Source organism: Homo sapiens, chromosome 1, assembly GCF_000001405.40.
Source record: "Homo sapiens chromosome 1, GRCh38.p14 Primary Assembly".
Lineage (NCBI taxonomy): Eukaryota > Metazoa > Chordata > Mammalia > Primates > Hominidae > Homo > Homo sapiens.
The window spans coordinates 189126986-189150065 of record NC_000001.11 but is presented as its reverse complement, the minus strand read 5'-3'; the positions used below and the strand labels follow the sequence as shown (position 1 = coordinate 189150065).

Below are 23080 nucleotides of genomic sequence, written 5' to 3'. Positions count from 1 at the left end.
GATTTCTGTATCCTGGGGTTTCTTGCCTTAGTGTACCTGAAGAATCAGGTCACATGTGGGCTTGGAGAATGAGTGCAAGGCTCTCCGCTAATGGGGGAGCCAGAAGGGAGATGGTTGTCCCCAGAAGCTGGGCCGCTAGATGGCCCCAGCTCTCCTCCAATAGCCCCAGTAAATTCTGCCTCGTCCCACCTGTGGATGGCCTGCCAGTGTGCAGGGGTGCTCTTCAGCTGGCGTGCTCTCAACAACCAGCCGCTTGAGTGTTCTGCCGCCGATGCGTTCCTCACGACGCCCAACCACTTCTGTGTCTTCCCGCCAGGGTCTTGGGTTTTTATAGGCCCAGGATGGGGGCGTGGTGGGCCAGGGTGGTCTTGGGAAATGCAACATTTGGGCAGGAAATGCCTGTCCTCACCTAGGTCCCCGAAGGCGGAGCCCTAGCCGGGGAACAAGACCTCCCCTGTTCTGCACTTCCGTTCCGGCTTCCATATCATTTAAAGGGACCACACTCTTCCCTTCCCATTCTGGCTTAAAGTTAATATATTAATTCTTTAACCCATTCTGGCTTAAAGTTAATATATTAATTTGAATGTTTTTGCAAGAATCACCTATATTGGAAATATAAATATGTTCCAGTTTTTTAAAAGGGAAATGCTTTCTTATTGAGAGCCACATCTATGATCCTCACCCACTTGCTTTTTTATTTATTCAATAAATTTATATTCAGTATCTAAAATTTGCCAATTGCTGGGCTGATTACCAGATACATAACTGTGAGGCAAGACAGAAAATATCCCTTATCTCATAGGTTTTATATTTAAGTGGAGTATAGAACACAGTTTGTTGAAATTCAGAAAAACCATATTTTTATCAATCCAGGCAGTCACAAGTGTGTTCAAATTCTAGGGGAAGAAACAAACCCTTTACCTGCATGGAATAAATGAATAATAATTTACACCTATATTTTTGTTTGTTTGCTTGTTTAATTTACTATCATAGTATTATTAAGGAAGTTAAAATTACCAAATTACAGGATTGAAACAAAAAAGTTTTTGTTAGAAGATTTTGGAAAAACTTATTTATAACTAGGCACCAGATATGAAAATTTTTCTTCCTGTAACATTTTTCTTAAATTTCCCACTTCAGAAGGATCTGTAAAAACAGGGGAATGGGATTATATACAATATGAGTGTTAATATTTTCCTGCCCCATCTATCCCAGGGCTTGATCCATTGTCTCATTAATAAAGCTGCATTGTGACTGGGACATAGGCTATGGACACAACAAGATGGACTCACTGCCACTTTAAAACACGTTTTTGTGTACATTTATAAATGCAGTAAATCCCATTGATTAAAGGATATATATATAGATGTATATGTATATGGATTAAGATGTATTAATATGTATATATCAAGATATATACATATATATATGGATTAAAGGATTCTCTGATTCTCTTCTATTTTTAGGCTTGTTGCTTTAATTGGTTACTCTGACAGCAGCCAATTCTCCAGTGGCTCAACTCTTTTCCAGCTGAGCTGAGTTCCTGACACCCACCAAAACAAAAACAAAGTCAGAGGTATATACTCTTTCATACTTTGTATTGAAATAAAATTACTTCAAACAACATGTAACCTAAACAATGTATATTCCTTCATTAACAATTCTGTGAAGAAAATTATTCTAGATACCATAGATTTTTTTTAGTTTGATGACATTTTGCAAAGGAATAGAATGATAAAATCCAATTGCACTCTACCGTGCAATAATTTCTGTAGCTCTTGCAATAAACCTGTGAGGTAGGTATTACAATCATACCCAGTTTACAAATGAGGGAACTGAACCTCAAGGGGAGAAGACGATGGTGCAGACAAGAGCACTAGCTTTTAAATTATATATATTTATATATGATATATATGATGATATATATATTATTATATGATGACACTGTGTATTCATACTTCTTATTACAAAATATATTTGGATAACTGATTGGCACTTTTACAAGCATCTGATTATGATTTCCTCAGGAAAGGCAGTAAAACTAGCCAGTAAAAATGTCTGTTTATTTTCTATAACAATACACATAATTTATCACCTGATGTTGACTCAATTGATCAAAATAATTTCTATTCCTAAATTATTTTTTATTTAGATACATTATCTTTGGTTTGCATAAATTATATAAATCAGTTGACATTGTATATATACCCAAATCATTATAGTTAGTATTTTGGATGAAAACTCGATTTGTATTACGATAATTATAGTATCTTCTCATCACAAAATAACCCATAATGGGGAGTTTTACTTTTATTATGAATTTTATTTTTTTTCTAGTCACAGGTACTCCTACTAGGGACACATATATTAGCTCATTTTTATATTTGCATTTATATTTTTCTGATATTACTTTTCTACAAAAATAAACTAAACACTTTCAGAACATATGTTAGAAAGTGAAAATAACCATTTCTAAAAACATTCTTAACTTCAAGTTTATTTGTGTAAAGGGTTAAGATTACATGAATGTCATCTTTTTATGAAGTACCAAACTCTAGTTTTATTACTAATTCCCTTCTGTGTGGAATCAAACACTGCATATGGCTATAACATTGATTTCTAATTTTATGAAAATTGCCCTACCAACAGCTGGTCCCTTGAACAAATGAATATGTCAGTGACTGATTACAGATTAATGACATAGCTATTCTTCAAAGGTATAGCAATTCATATTCAAATTTGGTCTCTTTGTAGTTTAGAATGCTTAGTTAAACCAAAAACTCTTTAGCTTATGCAATTAAATACTTTTATTTATATAAAATTGAATGCCTTTGAAGATATATACAGTTTAGAAGAAAAAAAGGATTGAAAAATTTCAATTTAGGTTTATTGAAAAGTACATCTGCTTTCAATGTGATTTATCAAGATCAGAATGAAGTAACTGCTAATCAAATTTGCCTTAAAGCATCAGACAATATTATGTTATCTGACACGTTTATTTAGAGCCAATTTTTAAACATTTATTCAACTTCTACAGATGTAAAAGTTCAGTTTAAAAATCAGAAATTGCTCTGAAATCCTTATTGTCAAGCACATTGAAAAATATGTCATTACTCATTTAAAATGCTGTAGAATTCTTTTCAAAAAAGTTTTCCAGATTTTAATTGACTAATTGTAATTATATATATTTACTGGGTACAGTGTGATTTTATTTTACATATCTATATTGCATAATGCTCCATTCAGGGTTGTTTGTGTATCCATCACCTCAATTATTTATTATTTTTTGTGGTGAGAATATCTAAAAGTCTCCCTTTTAGCTATTTTGTACTACACACTATTCAACTGTTAACTATAGTTGTAGCACAGTGAAATAGAACACCAGAATTTATTTCCCCTGTGTAATTGTAACTTTCTAGCCTCTGACCAGACTCTTCCTATCCTCCCTTCTCCCCTTCCTTCCCATCCTCCTTTCTCCCCTTCCTTCCCTAGTTTCTGGTACTCACTGTTCTAATATCTACTGTTATCGATATCAACTTTTTTTTTTCTTTATATGAATGAGATTATGTGGTACTTGTCTTTCTGCATCTGGCTTGTTTCACTTAACTAATGTCATCCATTTTCTTCATGTTTTCACAAATGTTAAGATTTCATTCTTTTTTATGTCTCAATATTATTTAATTGTGTAGATACCACATTTTCTTTATATTGTATATTCATTCACTGTTGGACACAAAGGTTGATGCAATATCTTGACTATAGTAAATAGTGCTACAATAAATATGGCAGTGCAAATATCTCATTGACACACTGATTTCATTTCCTTTGCATATATACACAGGAGTGGGATTATTGGATCATATGGTAGTTCTTAAAAATAGAACTTTTTTAGGAACCTCCATATTATTTTCCATAATGGCTACATTAATTTATAATCCCAACAGTGTTCAAGTCTACCATTTTCTCTACATCATCACCAGCAGTCATTTTATTTATTTATTTTAATAATAGCCATTCTATCTGAAGTGAGGCGTTATCTCATGGTGTCTTTGATTTGCATTTCCCTGTTGATGAGAGATGTTGAGAATTTTTTCTTATACCTATTGGCTATCTGTTCTTATTTTGAGAGGGCCTTTCATCATTTAAAAAATTGTATTATTTTTACTGTTGAGTTGTTCTATTTTCTTATGTATTCTGAATATCAACTCCCTGTCAGATTTAGACTTTGCAAGTTTTTTTCCCATTCTGTAGGTTATCTTTTCACTACATTAAGAGTTTCCTTGTCTCTACAAAATCTTTTTAATTTGATGTAATTCCATTTGTATAGTTTTACTTTTTGTTGTCTATACTTTTGATATCTTATTTTTAAAATCCATGCTCATCCCAATTTCATGGAGTATTTTACCTGTTTTCTTCCAGTACTGTCATAGCTTCTGATTGCTGGTTTAAACAGTTAATCTATTGTGAGTTGATTTTTTTATGTGGTTGGAGGTAGTGCTCTAGTCTCATTCTCTTATATATGGATATATAATATTTTCAGCATAATTTATTGAACACACTGTCGTTTCTCCAATCTTTGTTTTCAGCACTTTTGTGGAAAATCAGTTGACTGTAGATGTTTGAAAATTTTGGATGATGTTTTATTACTCATTCAATTTCTTGACTTGTTATTGGTCTGCTCAGATTTTATATGGCTTCAAATTTAAACTTGGTAAGTTGTCTTCATGAATTTATTCATTTTTTTCTAGGTTATCAATTTTTTGGCTTATAGCTGTTCATAATAGTCTCTTATGATCCTTTGTATTTCTATGGTATGAGTTGTGAAGTCTCTGTTTTTCATCTTTAATTTTATTTGAATCTGTTCTTTTCTTTTTCACTTGTTAGCCTAGCTCAAGTTTTGTCAATTTAGTTTGTTTTCAAAAAACCAACTCTATTTTGTTGATCTTTTGAAACTTTTTAGTCTCTATTTTGGTTATTTCTACCGTAGGTTTATTATTTATTTTCTTCCACAAGAAGAATTTTGGGTTTAATTCTTGTTTTTCTACTTTTTTGTCATGTTTCATTAGGTTGTTTATTAGAAATCTTTATTTTTGGTTTAGAGATTTATTAACATAAAATTATGTCTCTCAACTGCCTTTAGTATGTTTATAGTTATGACTATACTGTGTTTCCATTCTTGCTTGTCTCATGGAAATTTTTCATTTTCCTTTTAATTTCTTCTTTGAGGTTTCTTTATGGTTTAGGGCCATATTTTTTTAATTTCCATGTATTTGTAAAGTTTCTGAAGTTTTTCTGCATTGATCTCTAGTTTTATACAATTGAAATCAGAAAACAGACTTTATAGAACCTCTATCTTCTTAAATTTGTTTATTGTTTTGTGGCCTAAGTTGTGATCTATTCTGGATAATGTTCCACATGCGGGTGAGAAGAATCAATTGTTGGATGGCATGTTCTGTAAATATTTATTTGGTCCATGGTGCAGTTTAAGTCTGATGATTGTTGAATTTTTGTCTCTATGTTCTGTTCATTGATCAAAGTAGAGTGCTAAAGTCCTCTACTATTACTGTATTGTAGTCTGTATTTCTGTTTAGGTCTAATAATATTTGCTTTATTTAGCTAGCTGCTCCAGTGTTGAGTACATATATATTTGGAATCATTATATCCTCTTGCTGAATTTATCCCTTTGTCATTGCATAATGACCTTCTTTGTCTCTTTTATTCTTTTCAATTTACTCTGTTTTATCTCAAATATGGATAGCTAACCCTGTTTCCTTTGGCTCTGTTTCCATGGAATATCTTTTTTCCTTTCTTCACTTTCAGTTCATGTTTACCTGTAATCATGCAGTGAGTTTCTTGTAGGCATGATACAGTTTGGTCTTGTTTTTAATTCATTCACTCTATATCTTTTAATTGGATAATTTTGTTTGTTGACATTCAAGGTTATTATTGACAGATAGTGACTTAGTCCTGCTATTTTGTTAAGTATTTTCTGGTTGTTTGGTAAATCCTATGTTTTCTTTTTAATTCCTCTTTTACGGTTTATTTCTGTAATTTATTATTTTTCTGTGGTTCTAAGTTTTGTTTCCTTCCTATTTCTTGTATATATGCTGTATTTTTTTCTTTGTGATTTCAATGGGGATAACATAAAGAATCCTGTAGTTACAGTGGATTATTTTATGCTAAGATCAAGCTGAATTTTGTCCTACAAAAATACTCTATACTTCTCCTCCCTCAAACTCAATTTATATTTCTGCTATTTTAATTACTTATTCTTAGTCATTAATTGTACCTGTTGTTTTTAGGCATTTTGACTTAAACTTTCATATTGGAGTATTGAACATTTTACATAACACAGTAAACCTGTAGGGGTTTGTGTGTGTGTGTATGTGTGTGTGTGTGTGTGTGTGTGTGTGTGTGTGTGTGTGTGTTTATCTCTAGTTTTATACCATGAAAGTCTGAAAAGAGACTTTGTATAATCTCTGTCTTCTTAAATTTGTTTAGACTTGTTATGTGACCAAGTTGTGATCTCTCCTGGATACTGTTCCATATGCAGTTGAGAAGGGTGTGCCTTTAAAATTGTTGGATGGCATGACGTTTAAATAAATAGGCAATTCTCAAAAGAAGATATACAAACAGACAACAAACATATGACAAAATGTTCAAGATCACTAATTATCTGGGAAATGCAAATTAAAACCACAATAAGATACCACCTTACTGCTGCAAAAATGGCTATAATTTAAAAATCGAAAAATAGTATATGTTGGTGTGGATATGGTAAAAAGGTAACTGTCTTACACTGCAGGTGAGAATGTAAACTAGTATAACCACTATGGAAAACAGTATGGAGATTCCTTAAGGAACTAAAAGTAAAAACACCATTCAATCTAGCAATTCCGTTACTGGATATCTGTCCAAGAGAAAATAAGTCATTATATGAAAAAGACACATGCACATGCATGTTTATAGCAGCACAATTAGTGATTACAAAAATATGGAACCTACCTAAATATTCCTCAAAGAATGGGTGGATAAAGAAAATGTCTTATGTATACACCATGGAATACTACTAAGCCATAAAACAGAATGAAATAATGGCATTCACAGCAACCTGGGTGGCGTTGAATGACATTATTCTAAATAAAATATCTCAGGAATTAAAAACCAAATATTGTATGTTCTCAATTATAAGTGGTAGTTAAGCTATGAGGATACAAAGGATAAGAATGATATAATGGATTTAGGGGACCGAAGGGAAGAGTGGGAAGGGGATGAGGGATAAAAAACTAAATATTGGATATAGTATACCCTGCTTGGCTGACACGTGCACCAAAATCTCAGAAATCACTAATAAAGAACTTATCCACGTAACTGAAAACCACATTTTCCTCAAAAACTATTGAGATAAAATATTTAAAAGGGAAAATTTTTGACCGAAAACAAAACAAACAGAACAAAACAAAACCTCTTGGACTGTAAGGTTTCTGCTGAGAAAAATTATCTTAGTCTAATAGAAATTTCCTGTGTGTGATGTTTTTCTTTTGCTGTTTTTAGAATTATTTCTTTGCCTTTAACTTTTGATAGTTTGAGAATTATTACTATATTATTCTGAGTTAAATTTATGAATTTTCCTTTACTGGTGAATTTTATGCTTTCACATGTTTCTATGTTAGTTATTATCATCCTTTTGTTTCAGTTGTAGCACTCTCAAGCATTCTTCCTAAGGCTGGTCTAGTGAGTGATGAATTCCCTCAGCTACTGCTTGTCTGGAAAGATCTTCATTTATCTCCCATTTCTGAAGTATAGCTTTGCTGGATACGGTATTTTAGGTGACTGTTTTTAGTACTTTAAATATAATACCTAATTCTCTCTTAGACTGTAAGGTTTTTGCTAAGAAATCTTCTGTGAGTCTAACGGAAATTCCTTCATGTGTGACTTGATTGTTTTGATGTTTTTAGAATTATTTCTTTGTCTTTAACCTGATAGTTTGAATATAATGTGCCTTAGAGAGGATTCTTTTGGGTTGAATCCAATTATATACCTTTGAGCTTTTTAATCTGGATATTCCTATCCATATAATGCATTGACTTTCGTTCTGGGTGGGTTCAGTAGTGAGGTCTCTGTGCATTTTCATTAGCTGTAATCTTCAGTGAAGACTATAATTGCCCCAATGACCTAAGATGCTTAGGAGTTTGTGATGGCAGTGGCATGATTCCACTGGGAGCAGAAGCTAGGCTGATTGTCATATTGCTTGCAGGCACAGAGGGCCAAAAGTCTATTTTGTGGCCCTCTGTGTAGGCTGTTGCTGTCCACAGGCTGGTTGCTGGGCCAGGCTTGGACACACACTGGCATAGCCAACCTGAAGACTGTGTGACTATCTCTGTTGGGGGACAGGATTGCCACCAGACTGGATGTTGGGCTGAGTGTGTTCAGGCATAGCAGTGCCTGGTGACCTTCTTGTGGTCTGTCTTCAGGAGAAGGGTCACTCCCAGACAGCTGTCAGGCTAAGAGTGAGGGTGAGTAGGCATGATTGGGCCATGTGGCATTGTGGCAGTTTCTCTGCAGGGATGAGGCTGCCCCAGATGGCTGTTAAACCAGATGCAGGAGGATGCAGATACCGTGGGAGCCCTTTGATCTTGCCCCAGTCTGTCTAGCCACCAGACTGGCTGTTGGTATGTACATGAGTGGATGAGAATGTGTCAAGCCTGGGTGTATCTGAAGCAATCTGGGGTGAGGCTATGCCAGTCATAGGACCTGGTGTTGGGCTAAGTAGACATGTAAATGTGCAGCAGGCTGGGCTGACTAGTGGCTTCTGTACTGTGCAGGCCCACCAGTTCACTGGGGTAGTGGTACGTTGCACAGGTTTAGAGGCTGGGGTCTTGGTCATTACATCTGTCCTAGGCTCCAGGCAGCTGGGGAGGTGGTATTGCAGGCACTTGTGTGAATCTGGGCAAATTACAGTGAAACCTTAGATATGGAGAGGGTCAGTTGCTCCTAGCCCCTAGGATAAGACTTACTCTAGTAGTGGTTTCAGTTTCAAGAAGACACTGAGCCATAGCAGCTTAGGATGTGGGAGTCGGGGTGCTGAAGGCAGACTTCTACTTTGAGGCAATGTAGCTGCATGAATTCCCAGCTACTCTCCGAACAGTATCTGGGGTCTTTGAGAGCTTGAGATTTCTAATGAAGCAGAAATTGCTAGCATTCATGGCAACAACAGAAGCCACTAGGGATGTCTATTATATCTAGAGATCTTTGGTAAGAAGTCCCCTCTGACTTCAAGCCAATTTCAGCAAGAGAGACAGTGTGGCAGAGGAAGAATACCTTGCTCCCTTCTTTATGGTCCTATCCTGGGCTTTTGTGATCACTGTTCTCTGAGATTTCACTGTTCTCCTAGTTCTCTCCAGTGTACTTCTTCAGTCACTCTAATGAAAATATCCCCTCTCCCCTCTCCCCTCTCCCCTTTGCACGGTCTCCCTCTGATGCCCAGCTGAGGCTGGACTGTGCTGCCACCATCTCGGCTCACTGCAACCTCCCTGCCTGATTCTCCTGCCTCAGCCTGCCTAGTGCCTGGGATTGCAGGCGTGCGCCGCCACGCCTGACTGGTTTTCGTATTTTTTGGTGGAGACGGGGTTTCACTGTGTTGGCCGGGCTGGTCTCCAGCTCCTGAAGGCGAGTGATCTGGCAGCCTCGGCCTCCCGAGGTGCCGGTATTGCAGACGGAGTCTCGCTCACTCAGTGCTCAATGTTTCCCAGGCTGGAGTGCAGTGGCGTGATCTCGGCTCACTACAACCTCCTCCTCCCAGCCACCTGCCTTGACCTCCCAAAGTGCCGAGATTGCAGCCTCTGCCGGGCCGCCACCCCGTCTAGGAAGTGAGGAGCGTCTCTGCCTGGCCGCCCATCATCTGGGATGTGAGGAGCCCCTCTGCCCGGCCGCCCAGTCTGGGAAGTGAGGAGCGCCTCTTCCCAGCCGTCATCCCATCTAGGAAGTGAGGAGCATCTGCCTGGCCGCCCATCGTCTGGGATGTGGGGAGCGCCTCTGCCCCGCCGCCCCGTCTGAGATGTGAAGAGCGCCTCTGCCCCGCCGCGACCCCGTCTGGGAACTGAGGAGTGTCTCTGGCCCGCTGCCACCCCGTCTGGGAGGTGAGGAGCGTCTCTGACAGGCCGCCCTTTCTGGGAAGTGAGGAGCCCCTCTGCCTGGCAGCCGCCCCGTCTGGGAAGTGAGGAGCATCTCCGCCCGGCAGCTGCCCCATCCGGGAGGTGGGGAGCAGCCCCCGCCCAGCTGCCGCCCCGTCTGGGAGGTGGGGGGCGCCTCTGCCCGGCCGCCCCGTCTGGGAAGTGAGGAGCCCCTCTGCCCGGCCACCACCTCGTCTGGGAGGTGTACCCAACAGCTCATTGAGAACGGGCCATGATGATGATGGCGGTTTTGTCGAATAGAAAAGGGGGAAATGTGGGGAAGAGAAAGAGAGATCAGATTGTTACTGTGTCTGTGTAGAAAGAAGTAGACATAGGAGACTCCATTTTGTTCTGTACTAAGAAAAATTCTTCTGCCTTGGGATGCTGTTAATCTATAACCTTACCCCCGACCCCGTGCTCTCTGAAACATGAGCTGTGTCCACTAAGGGTTAAATGGATTAAGGGCGGTGCAAGATGGTTCTTTGTTGGACAGATGCTTGAAGGCAGCATACTCGTTAAGAGTCATCATCACTCCCTAATCTCAGGTACCCAGGGACACAAACACTGCGGAAGGCAGTGGGGCCCTCTGCCTAGGAAAACCAGAGACCTTTGTTCACACGTTTATCTGCTGACCTTCCCTCCACTATTGTCCTATGACCCTGCCAAATCCCCCTCTCCGAGAAACACCCAAGAATGATCAATAAATACTAAAAAAATTAAAATAAAAAAAGAAAATATCATGGTTTATTTCTTGTTTTGGTCCTTTTTTATAAGGAATATGAGCATAAGGTAAGTCTACTCAGCCACTTGGCTGATGCCACTCTGAAAATTCTAATCACAGCAAGTTATCATTTTGAATTGCTACAATGTTACTATGCTACCACAGTTTCTGCAGAGCCTTCTTGTACATTTTTACATTTCTGCCTATCAGTTACTCTTATAAACTATCTAACGCTCCAAGATGTATATATTTGAAAAATATCTATGGAATTGGGCCCCCAGGTTAGACAAGAAATAAGGAATGCAATAAACAGACTAGAGTTAGCAAATAAACCAGTCCTCACCATTAATATACTACTGTGTTTCTTTCCAAGTTTGAATAGTTTTCTTTTTCTGTATTACTGTGATTGAGATATTGAAAGCTGAGCTTCATCTGGATTTCACATCATCTGACATTAGTTTTACAGAAAATTTTACTTATACTAAACTCCCATATATATTTAATGCATATGGCAATGTGAAAGACCTCCAGTCTGAAAATCCTCCTTAAAAAGGAAAGCATTTGAATGTTCTCCAACAAAAGATGCCTTTATACAATATTACTATTTAAGTTTCTAAAGAATTTTTTCTTTTTTACAGCTTATTAGTGTTCAATTGTATGTGCATAGATATGTATATGCCTCATTTTTTTGTCCATTTATCCTTTGAGGGAAACTTATGTTGATTATATTTCTTATCTACTGCAATAAACATGAGACTTGAACCCTCTCCTCAGCATAATGATTAGACATAAAAAATAAAAAATACAGATTAGACATAAAAAATAAAAAATTATGGAAATTCTGTCATTTGTGACAACATGGATGAACCTGGAAAACTTTTGTTAAATGAAATAAGCCGGGAACAAAAAGAAAAATGCTGCATGATCCCACTTATGTGAAGAATCTTAAAAAGTTGACTTTATACAAACAGAGGTTATAACTTTGTTTACTAGAGGCTGCAATAGGTAGGGAGGAGTGGGGATTGAGTAGATTTTGGTCAATTGATACATATTTACAGTTAGATAGGAGTAATAGGTTGGCCAGATCTACTGTGCAGAATGGTGATTATAGTTAATGAAATATATTGCATACTGAAAAATGCTAAGAGAGTGATGTTAATTTTCCTAACCACAAAATTTTTTGTCTTTTTTTTTTAATTATACTTTCAGATTCTAGGGTACATGTGCACAATGTGTAGGTTTGTTACATATATATACATGTGCCATGTTGGTGTGCTGCACCCATTAACTTGTCATTTACATTAAGTATATATCCTAATGCTATCCTCCCCCCTCCACCCACCCCATAACAGGCCCTGGTGTGTGATGTTCCCCACCCTGTGTCCAAGTGTTCTCATTGTTCAATTCCAACCTATGAGTGAGAACATGTGGTGTTTGGTTTTCTGTCCTTGTGATAGTTTGCTCAGAATGATGGTTTCTAGCTTCATCCATGCCCCTACAAAGGACATGAACTCATTCTTTTTTATGGCTGCATAGCATTCCACGGTGTATATGTGCCACGTTTTCTTAATCCAGTCTATCACTGATGGACATTTGGGTTGGTTCCAAGTCTTTGCTATTGTGAATAGTGCCTCAGTAAACATACATGTGTATGTGTCTTTACAGCAGCGTGATTTATAATCCTTTGGGTATATACACAGTAATGGGATGGCTGGGTCAAATGGTATTTCTAGTTCTAGATCCTTGAGGAATGGGCAAAAACTGGAAGTATTCCCTTTGAAAATTGGCACAAGACAGTGATGCTGTCTCTCACCACTCCTATTCAACATAGTATTGGAAGTTCTGGCCAGGGTAATCAGGCAGGAGAAAGAAATAATGGGTATTCAGTTAGGAAAAGAGGAAGTCAAATTGTCTCTGTTTGCAGATGACATTATAGTAGATTTAGAAAACCCCATTGTCTCAGCCCAAAATCTCCTTAAGCTGATAAGCAGCTTCAGCAAATCTCAGAATACAAAATGAATGTGCAAAAATCACAAGCATTCCTATACACCAACAACAGACAAACAGAGCCAAATCATGAGTGAACTCCCATTCACAACTGCTTCAAAGAGAATAAAATACCTAGTAACCTAACCACAAAAATTTTAACTGTGTGGGTACACTTTTCAGTTAGCTATATTTAACAATTCCACAATATATTTATACTTCAAAACATCATGTTGCACACAATAAATGCAATTTTAGATGTGGTTTTAAAATAAATACATTTGAAAAACATTTTCTCTAGACTTTTTATTTCTATTTAAACAAATCTGTGTAATTTTTGGTTACTTAATTGTGTATTTATTTGGTCACATGATTTTTGTTTGTTTGTTTAATTCTAGGAAGAAGAATGCCAGCTGAGATCACAAGAACATTTGAAGGAATTTAAAACAAAAATACCTAAAACTGGGCATTATGTGATTGTGTTGTATGGAAGATAAACTCTACTAAGTGTGTTAGACAAGTCCCCATAAATTACACAAGGTAAGGAGGAACACACACACACACATTGGTGAAGTTATACATGAGTTCATAAATTACCTGTACAGCAGCAGTCAGGCTCAGTACCCTAAGGTATGAACCTCTGCTGTTGGTCCAAATTACTTCCCAAATGAGATGACTCAAGAGTTGACAATGTGATTGGTCAAAATTCTACAGTAATGAAATGATGGGCCCAAAAGGATACATGTTAATTATAAATATGATTAAGAAAATACATAAAATTGAACGTTATTAACCCTATTTTTGAAGACTTTAAAGCCATATTATTTTAAAACTTCCCTATTCTATACGTTCCAAACAAGTAAAATTGGGAGAAAAGTAGTGATTTCAATTATACTTTTTTTTTTTTATCCAGCAACTCTGTAATTAATGTGATTCAACTGTTAGACTGTTTCATTGCTTAGAACATAAACTAAAAATTGTTTTATTCATTATCCTTGAGTTAAAAACATAACTGCTGAGACTTTTAAAAAAGTTTCTTTGGTTATCTTAACATATTTTGTAAAACCAACAACAACAACAACAACAAAACACTTGTAATCATAGGGAAAAGTAACCCACTTTAATTATTAAAATTGTTTTCTATGCACAGGTGGTGTTTCTTTATTTAATATTTCCCATTTGGATTTGTAAGAGCCATAGCAATATCCTTGAATTAAATACACGGCTGCACTTAATACTTTCTACCTATTTTTTCCTCATTATTTCTTTTATATACTTATGCAAATATATTTAATATAATGGAAGGAACTAATGATATATAATAATTCTTAACTTATAAAATATTTATAGCTCTTAAACAAATTTGTATTTATAATTACTTTAGCAAACAATATTTTAGTAGTAAAAGTTTTAAGACTCTTGATACTCAAGGAAAAATATGTATTTAGGAGATAAATAAGGGTGAAAAATCCAAATGGACAGAATTTTTAAAATTTTTCCTCAGGGCTAGCATATGCAATTTGTTGAGAAGCTAAAAACAGAGTTTGCTATAAAAATAATCTAATATCACGTTACTTCACAGAGAACCTTTATTAATAAATATCAAATATGCCCCCAAAATACATTAGTAAACCATTCTAGTTTTCGTTTAGAAAAGAATATGTTTCCAATGATAAATTTATATTTTAAATATAACAGTAAAATTTGATCCAAGAGTGAAATCAACCTAGATATTTATAATCATATAATCTATATGTAAGTGATTTCTGTTTTATTGTAATAGTGAATTACTAATGTTTCTGACACAGTTTGAGATTTGCAAATTTTCCTAAAAATCCTTTTAATATTTGCATCAAAATTATAACCTTTCCACATGTCAATGCTGCTTATAATATGTGAAGTAACTTGTCTGACTCTGTGTTGTTATAAAGGAATACCTGGGCAATTAATCAATTTATAAAGGAAAGAGATTTATTTGACTCATAGTTCTTTGTTTGTTTGTTTGTTTTTGTTGTTGTTGTTGTTGTTTTGACAGAGCCTCACTCTGCCACTCAGGCTGGAGTGCAGTGGCACGATCTCAGCTCACTGCAACCTCAACCTCCCGGGTTCAAGTAATTCCTGAGTCTACTTCCTGAGTAGCTGTGATTACAGGTGTGTGCCACCACATCCAGCTGGTTTTAGTAGAGAGGGTTTCACCATGTTGGGCAGGCTGGTCTCAAACTCCTGATCTCAAGTGATCTGCCCAAAGTGCTGGTTACAGGTGTAAGCCACAGCACCTGTCCTGGTTTACAGTTTTCCATGCCGTACAAGAAGCATAACTCCGGTGAGGGCCTCAGGACGCTTCCACTCATCACAAAAGGCAAAGGGGAGTTAATGTGTGCAGAGATCACATGACAAGAGGGGTGGCAAGAGAGAGGGTAGGGAGATGCCAAGCTCTTTTTAAAAATCATTTCTCACAGAACCTAATAGTAGAGCAAGAACTCACTCATTACTTCAAGGATATCACCAAGATATTCATGCAAGATCTGGCCTCATGATCCAGACACCTCCCATTAAGCATTGCCTCCAACATTGCAGATTTGGAGGGTATCAACATCAAAACTATGTCATACTATGAGCTGGTTAGGAATGAAAAACATTGTGCTCTAAAATCAAAAATTTTTGAAAGGGTATATGTATAGCCTATACTAATAAAAAGTAATTATAATACTTATAGTTTATGAAGTTTTACTCTTAAAAACCTTATACACATATATTGCATTTAATATTTACATGGGATAATATGCATAATATATTTTCCCAAGGCATTTAATAAAGTTTGAACAGGTTAAAAGAAAGATCTGATTATATAGAGACCAACTATGTATTATTTGTATTAACTAGCATTAGTACTGTAATTTCAATGTAATTGCACCCTGTAATTATCCAATGCCTTGCCTTCATCTGTTCCATTTCTTTCTTTACTTCAGAGTCTTCAATCTCTTCCTCTCATTTGTGAAGAAACACCAGAAGTGATCATTCTTCTCCGGAAGTCCAAGCAGCCCAGAAATTTTAAATAAGATATTCTTGACAAAAGAATTGCAAAAAAAAAAAAATGCAACTTTTTGAAGCTCTCTACAAAATTAGTAACAACAACAAAATAATAGGTATATTTTTCCAGGAATATAATAGAACTGAAAGTGTCAATAAAAATTTTTTGTTCAGGCTCAGTGGCTCATGCCTGTAATCCCAGCATTTTGGGAGGCCAAGGCAGGCAGATCACCTGAGGCCAGGAGTTCTAAATCAGCCTGGCTAACATGGTGAAACCCCATCTCTACTAAAAATATAAAATTGCTGGGTGTGGTGGTGCACACCTGTAATCCCAGCTACTTGGGAGGCTGAGGCAGGAGAATCACTTAAACCAGGGAGGCAGAGGTTGCAGTGGGCTGGAATCATGCCACTGTGCTCCAGGCTGGGTGACAGAGTGAGACTCTGTCTCAAAATAAAAGAAAAAAGAAAAAAAAATTGACAAAATTGTGCTGAAAGAAATACTTTTTGGTTTGTTTGATTGAAAGGGAAAAATGTTGTTTTTACTTGTATCACTGATGTAGTTCAGATTTATAAAGGGTTTTGGTGCCTCATCTTATAGAGAATGTAGATTATATATATTCACAATAGAATGATAAGACTTCTTTGTGGGTATCTACTATCTTAAAGTTATCCTCACCATAGGATGATGTAATTCAACAAACCTGAATGACATTTTCCTTTTCTAAATAAAATACTATATGTAATTATATTTTTACTTTAATTATTAATAGAAGCTACATATGAAGTTATTTTGGCTCTCTGCTCCTCTCATTCGACAGACGGCCACATCTCATGCAGCACCAGCTGCATCCATGAAACACCATAATGAAAGTGAAGGCTGAAGTAAACAAATTTGGCCATATCGAGGACCTGTCACCAGGCCTCCTTTTAACTCTGGCGAAAGAGATATTGTCACCATCAATGACCCTTTCATTGACCTCAACTGCATGGCCTAAGTGTTCTTGTTTGATTCCACCCATGGCAGATTTCATGTCACTGTCAAGGCTGAGAAAAGGAAGCTTGTCATCAAAGGGAATCCCATTACCATCTTTCAAGAGCAAGATCACACCAAAATAAAATGAGCTGATGTTTATGCTAATTATGTTGTGCAGTCCAGTGATATCTTCACTATCATGGAGACGGCTATGACTCACTTAATGGGGGAGCCAAACGGGTCATTATCTCTGCCCCCTCTGGTGACATCCTTATGTTCATGATGGGCATGAACCATGAGAAGTATGAAAACAGCCTCAAGATGGTCAGCAATGCCTTTTGGGCCACCAACTTCTTAGGTCCCCTGGCCAAGGTCATCCATGGCAACTTCAGCATCATGGAGAGACTCATGACCACAGTATATGCCATCACTGCCACATAGAAGGCTGTGGATGCCCCCTTTGGGAAACTGTGGCATGATGGCCACAGGGCTCTCCAAAACATCATCCCTGCATCTACTTGTGCTTCCAAGGCTGTGGTCAAGGTCAAACCTCACTGGTATAGCCTCCTGTGTTCCCACTACCAACATCTCACTCATGGACCTAACCTGCCATTTGGAGAAACCTGCCAAATATGATAACATCAAGAAGGTGGTGAAGCAGGCACTGGAAGCCCCCTCAAGAGCATCCTGGGCTACACTGAGCACCAGGCTGTCTTGTCTGACTTTAACAGTGACACCCACTCTTCCACCATCGATGCTGGGGCTGGCATTGATAGATTTGGCTACAGCAACAGAGTGGTGGACCTTGTGGTCTACATGACCTCCAAGGAGTAGACCTCCATACCATCAGCCTCAATGAGACTAAAAGAGGAAGAGAGAGGCCCTTAGCTGCTGAGGAGTCCCTGCTCCACTCAGCCCACACCATACTGAGAATTTCCTCTCCTCACTGTTTTCATGCAGACTCCCTGAAGAGGGAGGAGCTTTGGTAGCCCTGCCTTGTTCTGACCATCAATAAAGTCCCCTATACTCATTAAAAAAAAGAAGAAGAATGGAAAAAAAGAAATTATTTTTTGTTCTATTCAGACTAGATGTGATTAAACAACTCACAGATTGTCACTGTAACTGGCCTTTAAGGCTCGTAGGAGTGAAGATGGGTTTTACATCAAGTTTTTTTTAATTTTTATATTGAGCTGAAAAAAGTGTAGGTAGTTTGTCAAGTCTATTTTTTTGGAAAAAGGAAGACCTAAGAGACATTTTATAATTGATTATTTCATGAATCTCATGCTTTGCCTGAATGTATTTCTTATGTTTTTCAATATATCATCCTGTTTTTTTGTGCCATTCTTTTCTTTCGGATATACTCGATGTCAAATATGACATATCTGAAAGAAATGCATCACTTGAGTAACTATATCGAATGACTCACTATTTTCACAATGAGAAGCACTAATGAGAAGTCTAAAAACAGAAGAAGGAGATCTAGCTATTTACTTCTTTATTTTGTTCCTGGTTTACTACCATTCTAAAAGTGGCAATAATATATGGTACAGCTCTTGTCAGTTATTACCTCTTCCACAAATCAAACTGTCTTTGGAGTTGTAGGAGATTTTCCCTATTTTCCACATTACTTCTTTGCTGGACTAGAGATAGTTATTTCAATATCCCTGGAAAAATTGTTTCAAGTTCCATCAACATTACAGATAGAAATAACTGTTGCTAGCACAATCAAATAAGTAAAACAGTGACTATATAGATACTTGTATGTAAGTATACACTAAGGAATTTTTTTAAATTTAATTTATAAATTTTAAGAGAAAAACATTGAAAAATATTATTTCAAATCTGGAAAAGAAAACAATATAATTGCATTATTCCAAGTGAAGACGGGAAAGCCAGTATATTTTGATAAGAATGACTTACTAGTGGTTGGTTTGATTGTTTACATGTTTATTTTAATTGGTAAATAACTGTACCATTACGATTAATATATAATGTTTAGTATTAGCCCAATTAGAACTACTAAATTTGTTCTTCCTTCAGAGTACATTGATCCCATAGCATATTGATGTCATCAAAGACCATAGTTCTTCCAAACTCACCTGGACAATGGCAAAACATATAACATCAACTATGTTCAAAATTTAATAAAAACAACAACTTTGACTCATCTTCAATTGCTTTTACTTCAATTTATTATCAATACAGCTAATGATGAATGTAAACAATACAGAGTATGAAGGTAAAAGCAAACAGGTGAATGTAATGTCCTTAAGATTAGTTCCTCCTGGGAATGCATTGATGTTTGTTGTTCTAAGCAGGCAAAATGCTCTGAGAGCATTATTCAGGCGGGTACTTCACTCTGTTTTGCCTGCTTAGAACAACAAACATCAAATTAAGTAGTTCTAATCTCATCCTCCCTTTTTGAGATAAAACATCACATATAATTTCCATGTTAGTATAAGGTAACTTTAAAAAACTTTATAGGAGTATATTCATGTATGTTACACTTCACACATTAAAATTATACAATTCAAATTTTTAGTACATTTATGCAATTGTGAAAACATTATCACCATCAAATTAAGAACGTTTTTCAACCCAGAATAAATTCTGTAGTCATCAGTAGTCATTCCCCATTTCTCACCAAACCATCAGCCCTAGGGCATCACTAATATACTCTCTGTTTCAATAAATTTGCTTACTGTGGACATTTCAAACAAATAAAATCATAGAATATGCATTATTTTGTGAAGGGTTTCCTTCACTTGGAAAAATTGTTTCAAGTTTCAACTACAATACAGCATTTATAAGCACATATATTTCTTCATTAATTTTATTGCAAACAATATTCATTTATACATCACATTTCTTTCATCAGTTGATGTGAATTTTTGAGCTTGCCATTTTTTGGTTATTGTGAATGATGGTGCTATTAACACCTATGTACATGTCTTTGTGCAGACATAAGTTTTCATTTCTCTTGGGTAAATATCTAGGAATGGAATTACCAGATCATAGAGTAAATATATGTTTTACATGTTGAGATACTGCCAAACTGTTCTGCACAGTAGATGCACGATTTTTCATTCCTGCTAACAATGTTAAAGCCTAAAATTTTTCTGCATACTCACAAATACGTGTTTTCAGCTGTAATTTTAAAATTATAGCCATCCTAGTAGGTGTAAACTGTTATCTCTCTGTGGTTTTGATTTTCATTTCCCTGATGGGTAAAAATATTGAATAACTTTTCTTTATCTTTCTTTCTTTCTTTTTTTTTCTTTTTTAGTTAAAAACAGGCTCTCACTCTGTCATCAGGTTGGAGTGCAGTGTCACAATCATAGCTTACCTCAAACTCATGAGCTCAAGTGATCCTCACAGCTCAGCCTCTCAGGTAGCTAGGACTACAGGCACACAACACCATGACTAGATACATTTTGTTGTTTGTTGTTGTTGTTGTTGTTGTTTCTTCTTGTAGAAATAGGTCCTCACTATGTTGTCCAGATATGTCTCATTATTCCTATAGTAATTTTCCAGTTTCAAATACAGGATTATTAACTATAGTCATCATGCTGTATATTAGAACTCTATACTTCATCCTACACTACTGCTACTTTTTTTATTCTTGAACGTTTCATTGATACAAAAGATTTGTACATATTTATTGGGATTATATAACATTTTTTTACATGCGTAGAATGTGTAATGATCAGGTCAGGGTAATTAGGAAACCCAACACATCGAGCATTTATCATTTTTCTTGTTAGGAACATTTCAAGACTGTTTGCTATTTATTTTGAAATACACAAACTATATTCAATCTGCTCTGCTATTGAACATCATGATTTATTCTTTCGATCTGAATTTATGTTTCTACCCATATACCAATCTCTCTTCACCCACCTCTCCCCACCACCACCACCACCACCACCATACACACAGCCATCCCGGATTTGGTAACTAACTCCATGAGTTGGCACTCTCTATGGCAATGAGATTAAATTTTTAGCTCCCACATACTAGTAAGAATATGCAGCATTTGCCTTTCTGTGCCTGGCTTATTTCACTTGACATAATGTCCTCTAGTTCCATCCATGTTGCTGCAAATGATCCAACATTATTCTTTTTTTTGTGGTTAAATAGCCTTCCATGTGTGTTTGAGTGTGTATATATATACACGTGTGTATATAATATATAATACATAACATATTATATATAATACATAATATACATACATATTATATTTTATATAATATACACGTGTGTATATATACACACACAAACACATACAAATATATATATAACCTACATATATGAGGTTTTATATATATTTATATATAGGGTTTTATATATAGGTTTTATATCTATATATGCTTTATATATAGTTTATGTATATAACCTCACATATATAAAACACCTCATATATATATTTACATGTATACAACCTATATATATGTAAAGCCTCATATATAGGTTAAATATGTGTGTGTTTCTGTGTGTACACATATTATATAAAAATTATATATAAAACCTCATATATATATATGCACATGCACACATATATAGATATGAGGTTTACTTTATCCATTTGTTCACTGATGGATGCTTAGATTGATTCCCTATCTTTGCTACTATGAATATTGCTGCTATAAATATGTGATATGATAGCTTTTTTTGGTTTTGACTTGCCTTTCCCTCATGATTAGTGATATTGAACACATTTTTATACACTGGCTATTTGTATATCTTCTTTGAAAAACTGTAAATTTAGGTTGTTTTCTAATTTTAAAATCAGTTTTTTTGTGCATGTGTGTTATTGAGTTGTGGGAGTTCCTAATGTATTTTTAGATATTAACTCCTTGCAAGATACATGGTTTGCAAATATTTTCTTCCAATACACATCCTGACTTTTTCATTTTGCTGTTTCTTTTGCTGTGCATAAGTTTTTGGATTTAATATTCTCACTTGTTTTTTGGTTTGATATTATATTTAGTTTTATTTTTCCTTTGATTGTCTGATTGTTTTGTGTCATATTGAAGCAATCGTTGCCAATGCCATTGTCAAGTGTCAGACAACCAAAGGAAAAATATACTTTTTGTTCAAATAAGATATACAAAATGAATAAAAACATTAAGTGTAAGGCCTCACCATATATTTCATTGTAGAGTATTGATGTCAGGCTTTACATTTAGAGTTTTTATTCATTTTGAGTTGATTTTTTTATATGGTATAAGATAAGGGTCCAGATTTTTTGTTTTGCATGTAGATATCCAGTTCTCTTAGCAAAATTTAATGGAGAGACTATCCTCTTCCCATTGTGTATTCTTGGTGCTCTTGTACAAAAATTGGTTGATTGTATAGGCTTGGGTTTATTTCTGAACTCTCTCTTGTGTTCCATTAGATTATATGTCTGTTTTTATGCCAGTAACATAAATTTTTTTTTAATCACAATTAGGTGACATGGTTTGGCTTTGTTTCCCCATCCAAATCTCATTTTGAACTATAATCCCATAAACACCATGTGTGGTATGAGGGACCCGGTGGAAGGCAATTGAATCATGGGGCTGTTTCCCCCATGGTATTCTCCTAAGTTTTCACGAGGTCTGATGGTTTTATAAGGAGCTTCCCCCTTCACTCAGCTCTCATTCTTCTCCTTCCTGTCACCATGTAAAGACGGATGTGTTTGCTTCCCCTTCCACCATGATTGTAAGTTTCCTGAGGCCTCTCAAGCCCTGCAGATACTGTGACTTGATTAAGACTCTTTCCTTTGTAAATTACCTAGTCTTGGGTATTTCTTCTTAGCAGCATGAGAACAAACTAATAAAATAGATTTATAAAATAACTTGAAATTAAGAAGTGAGATGCCTCCAACTTTGTTTTTCTTTCTCAAGATTGCTATGGCTTTTCAAAGCCCTCTGGTATTCCACATGAAATTGAGATTTTAAAAAATATTCTGTAAAAATTGTTACTGGGATTTTCATAGGGATTACATTTGCTCAGTATACTACTTTGCATAGTATGAACATTTTAACAATATTAATTCTTCCAATATGAAGACTTGGTATATTTCTTGGTATATATTTCATTTATTTTTGTCCTTTTAGCTTTTCTTTCATTAATATTTAATAGTTTTAAATGTACATGTTTTTCCTCACTTCCTTCATTAAATTAATACATCAGAATTATTTTTGATGCAATCTT

General features: G+C 35.9%; 1 long non-coding RNA gene and 1 pseudogene across 2 annotated transcripts in view; one reads left to right on the top strand and one right to left on the bottom strand.

Annotated features, from left to right (window-relative positions):
• LOC105371657 (uncharacterized) overlaps positions 1-303 on the bottom strand; it is a 453818-nt gene extending 453515 nt beyond the window's left edge. For both annotated transcript variants that reach the window (XR_002958413.2, XR_001738343.2), the window contains exon 1: positions 190-303. This is a non-coding gene — a long non-coding RNA (uncharacterized LOC105371657). The remainder of the gene's footprint in view (positions 1-189) is intronic.
• Positions 16777-17515, top strand: GAPDHP75 (glyceraldehyde-3-phosphate dehydrogenase pseudogene 75; annotated as a pseudogene).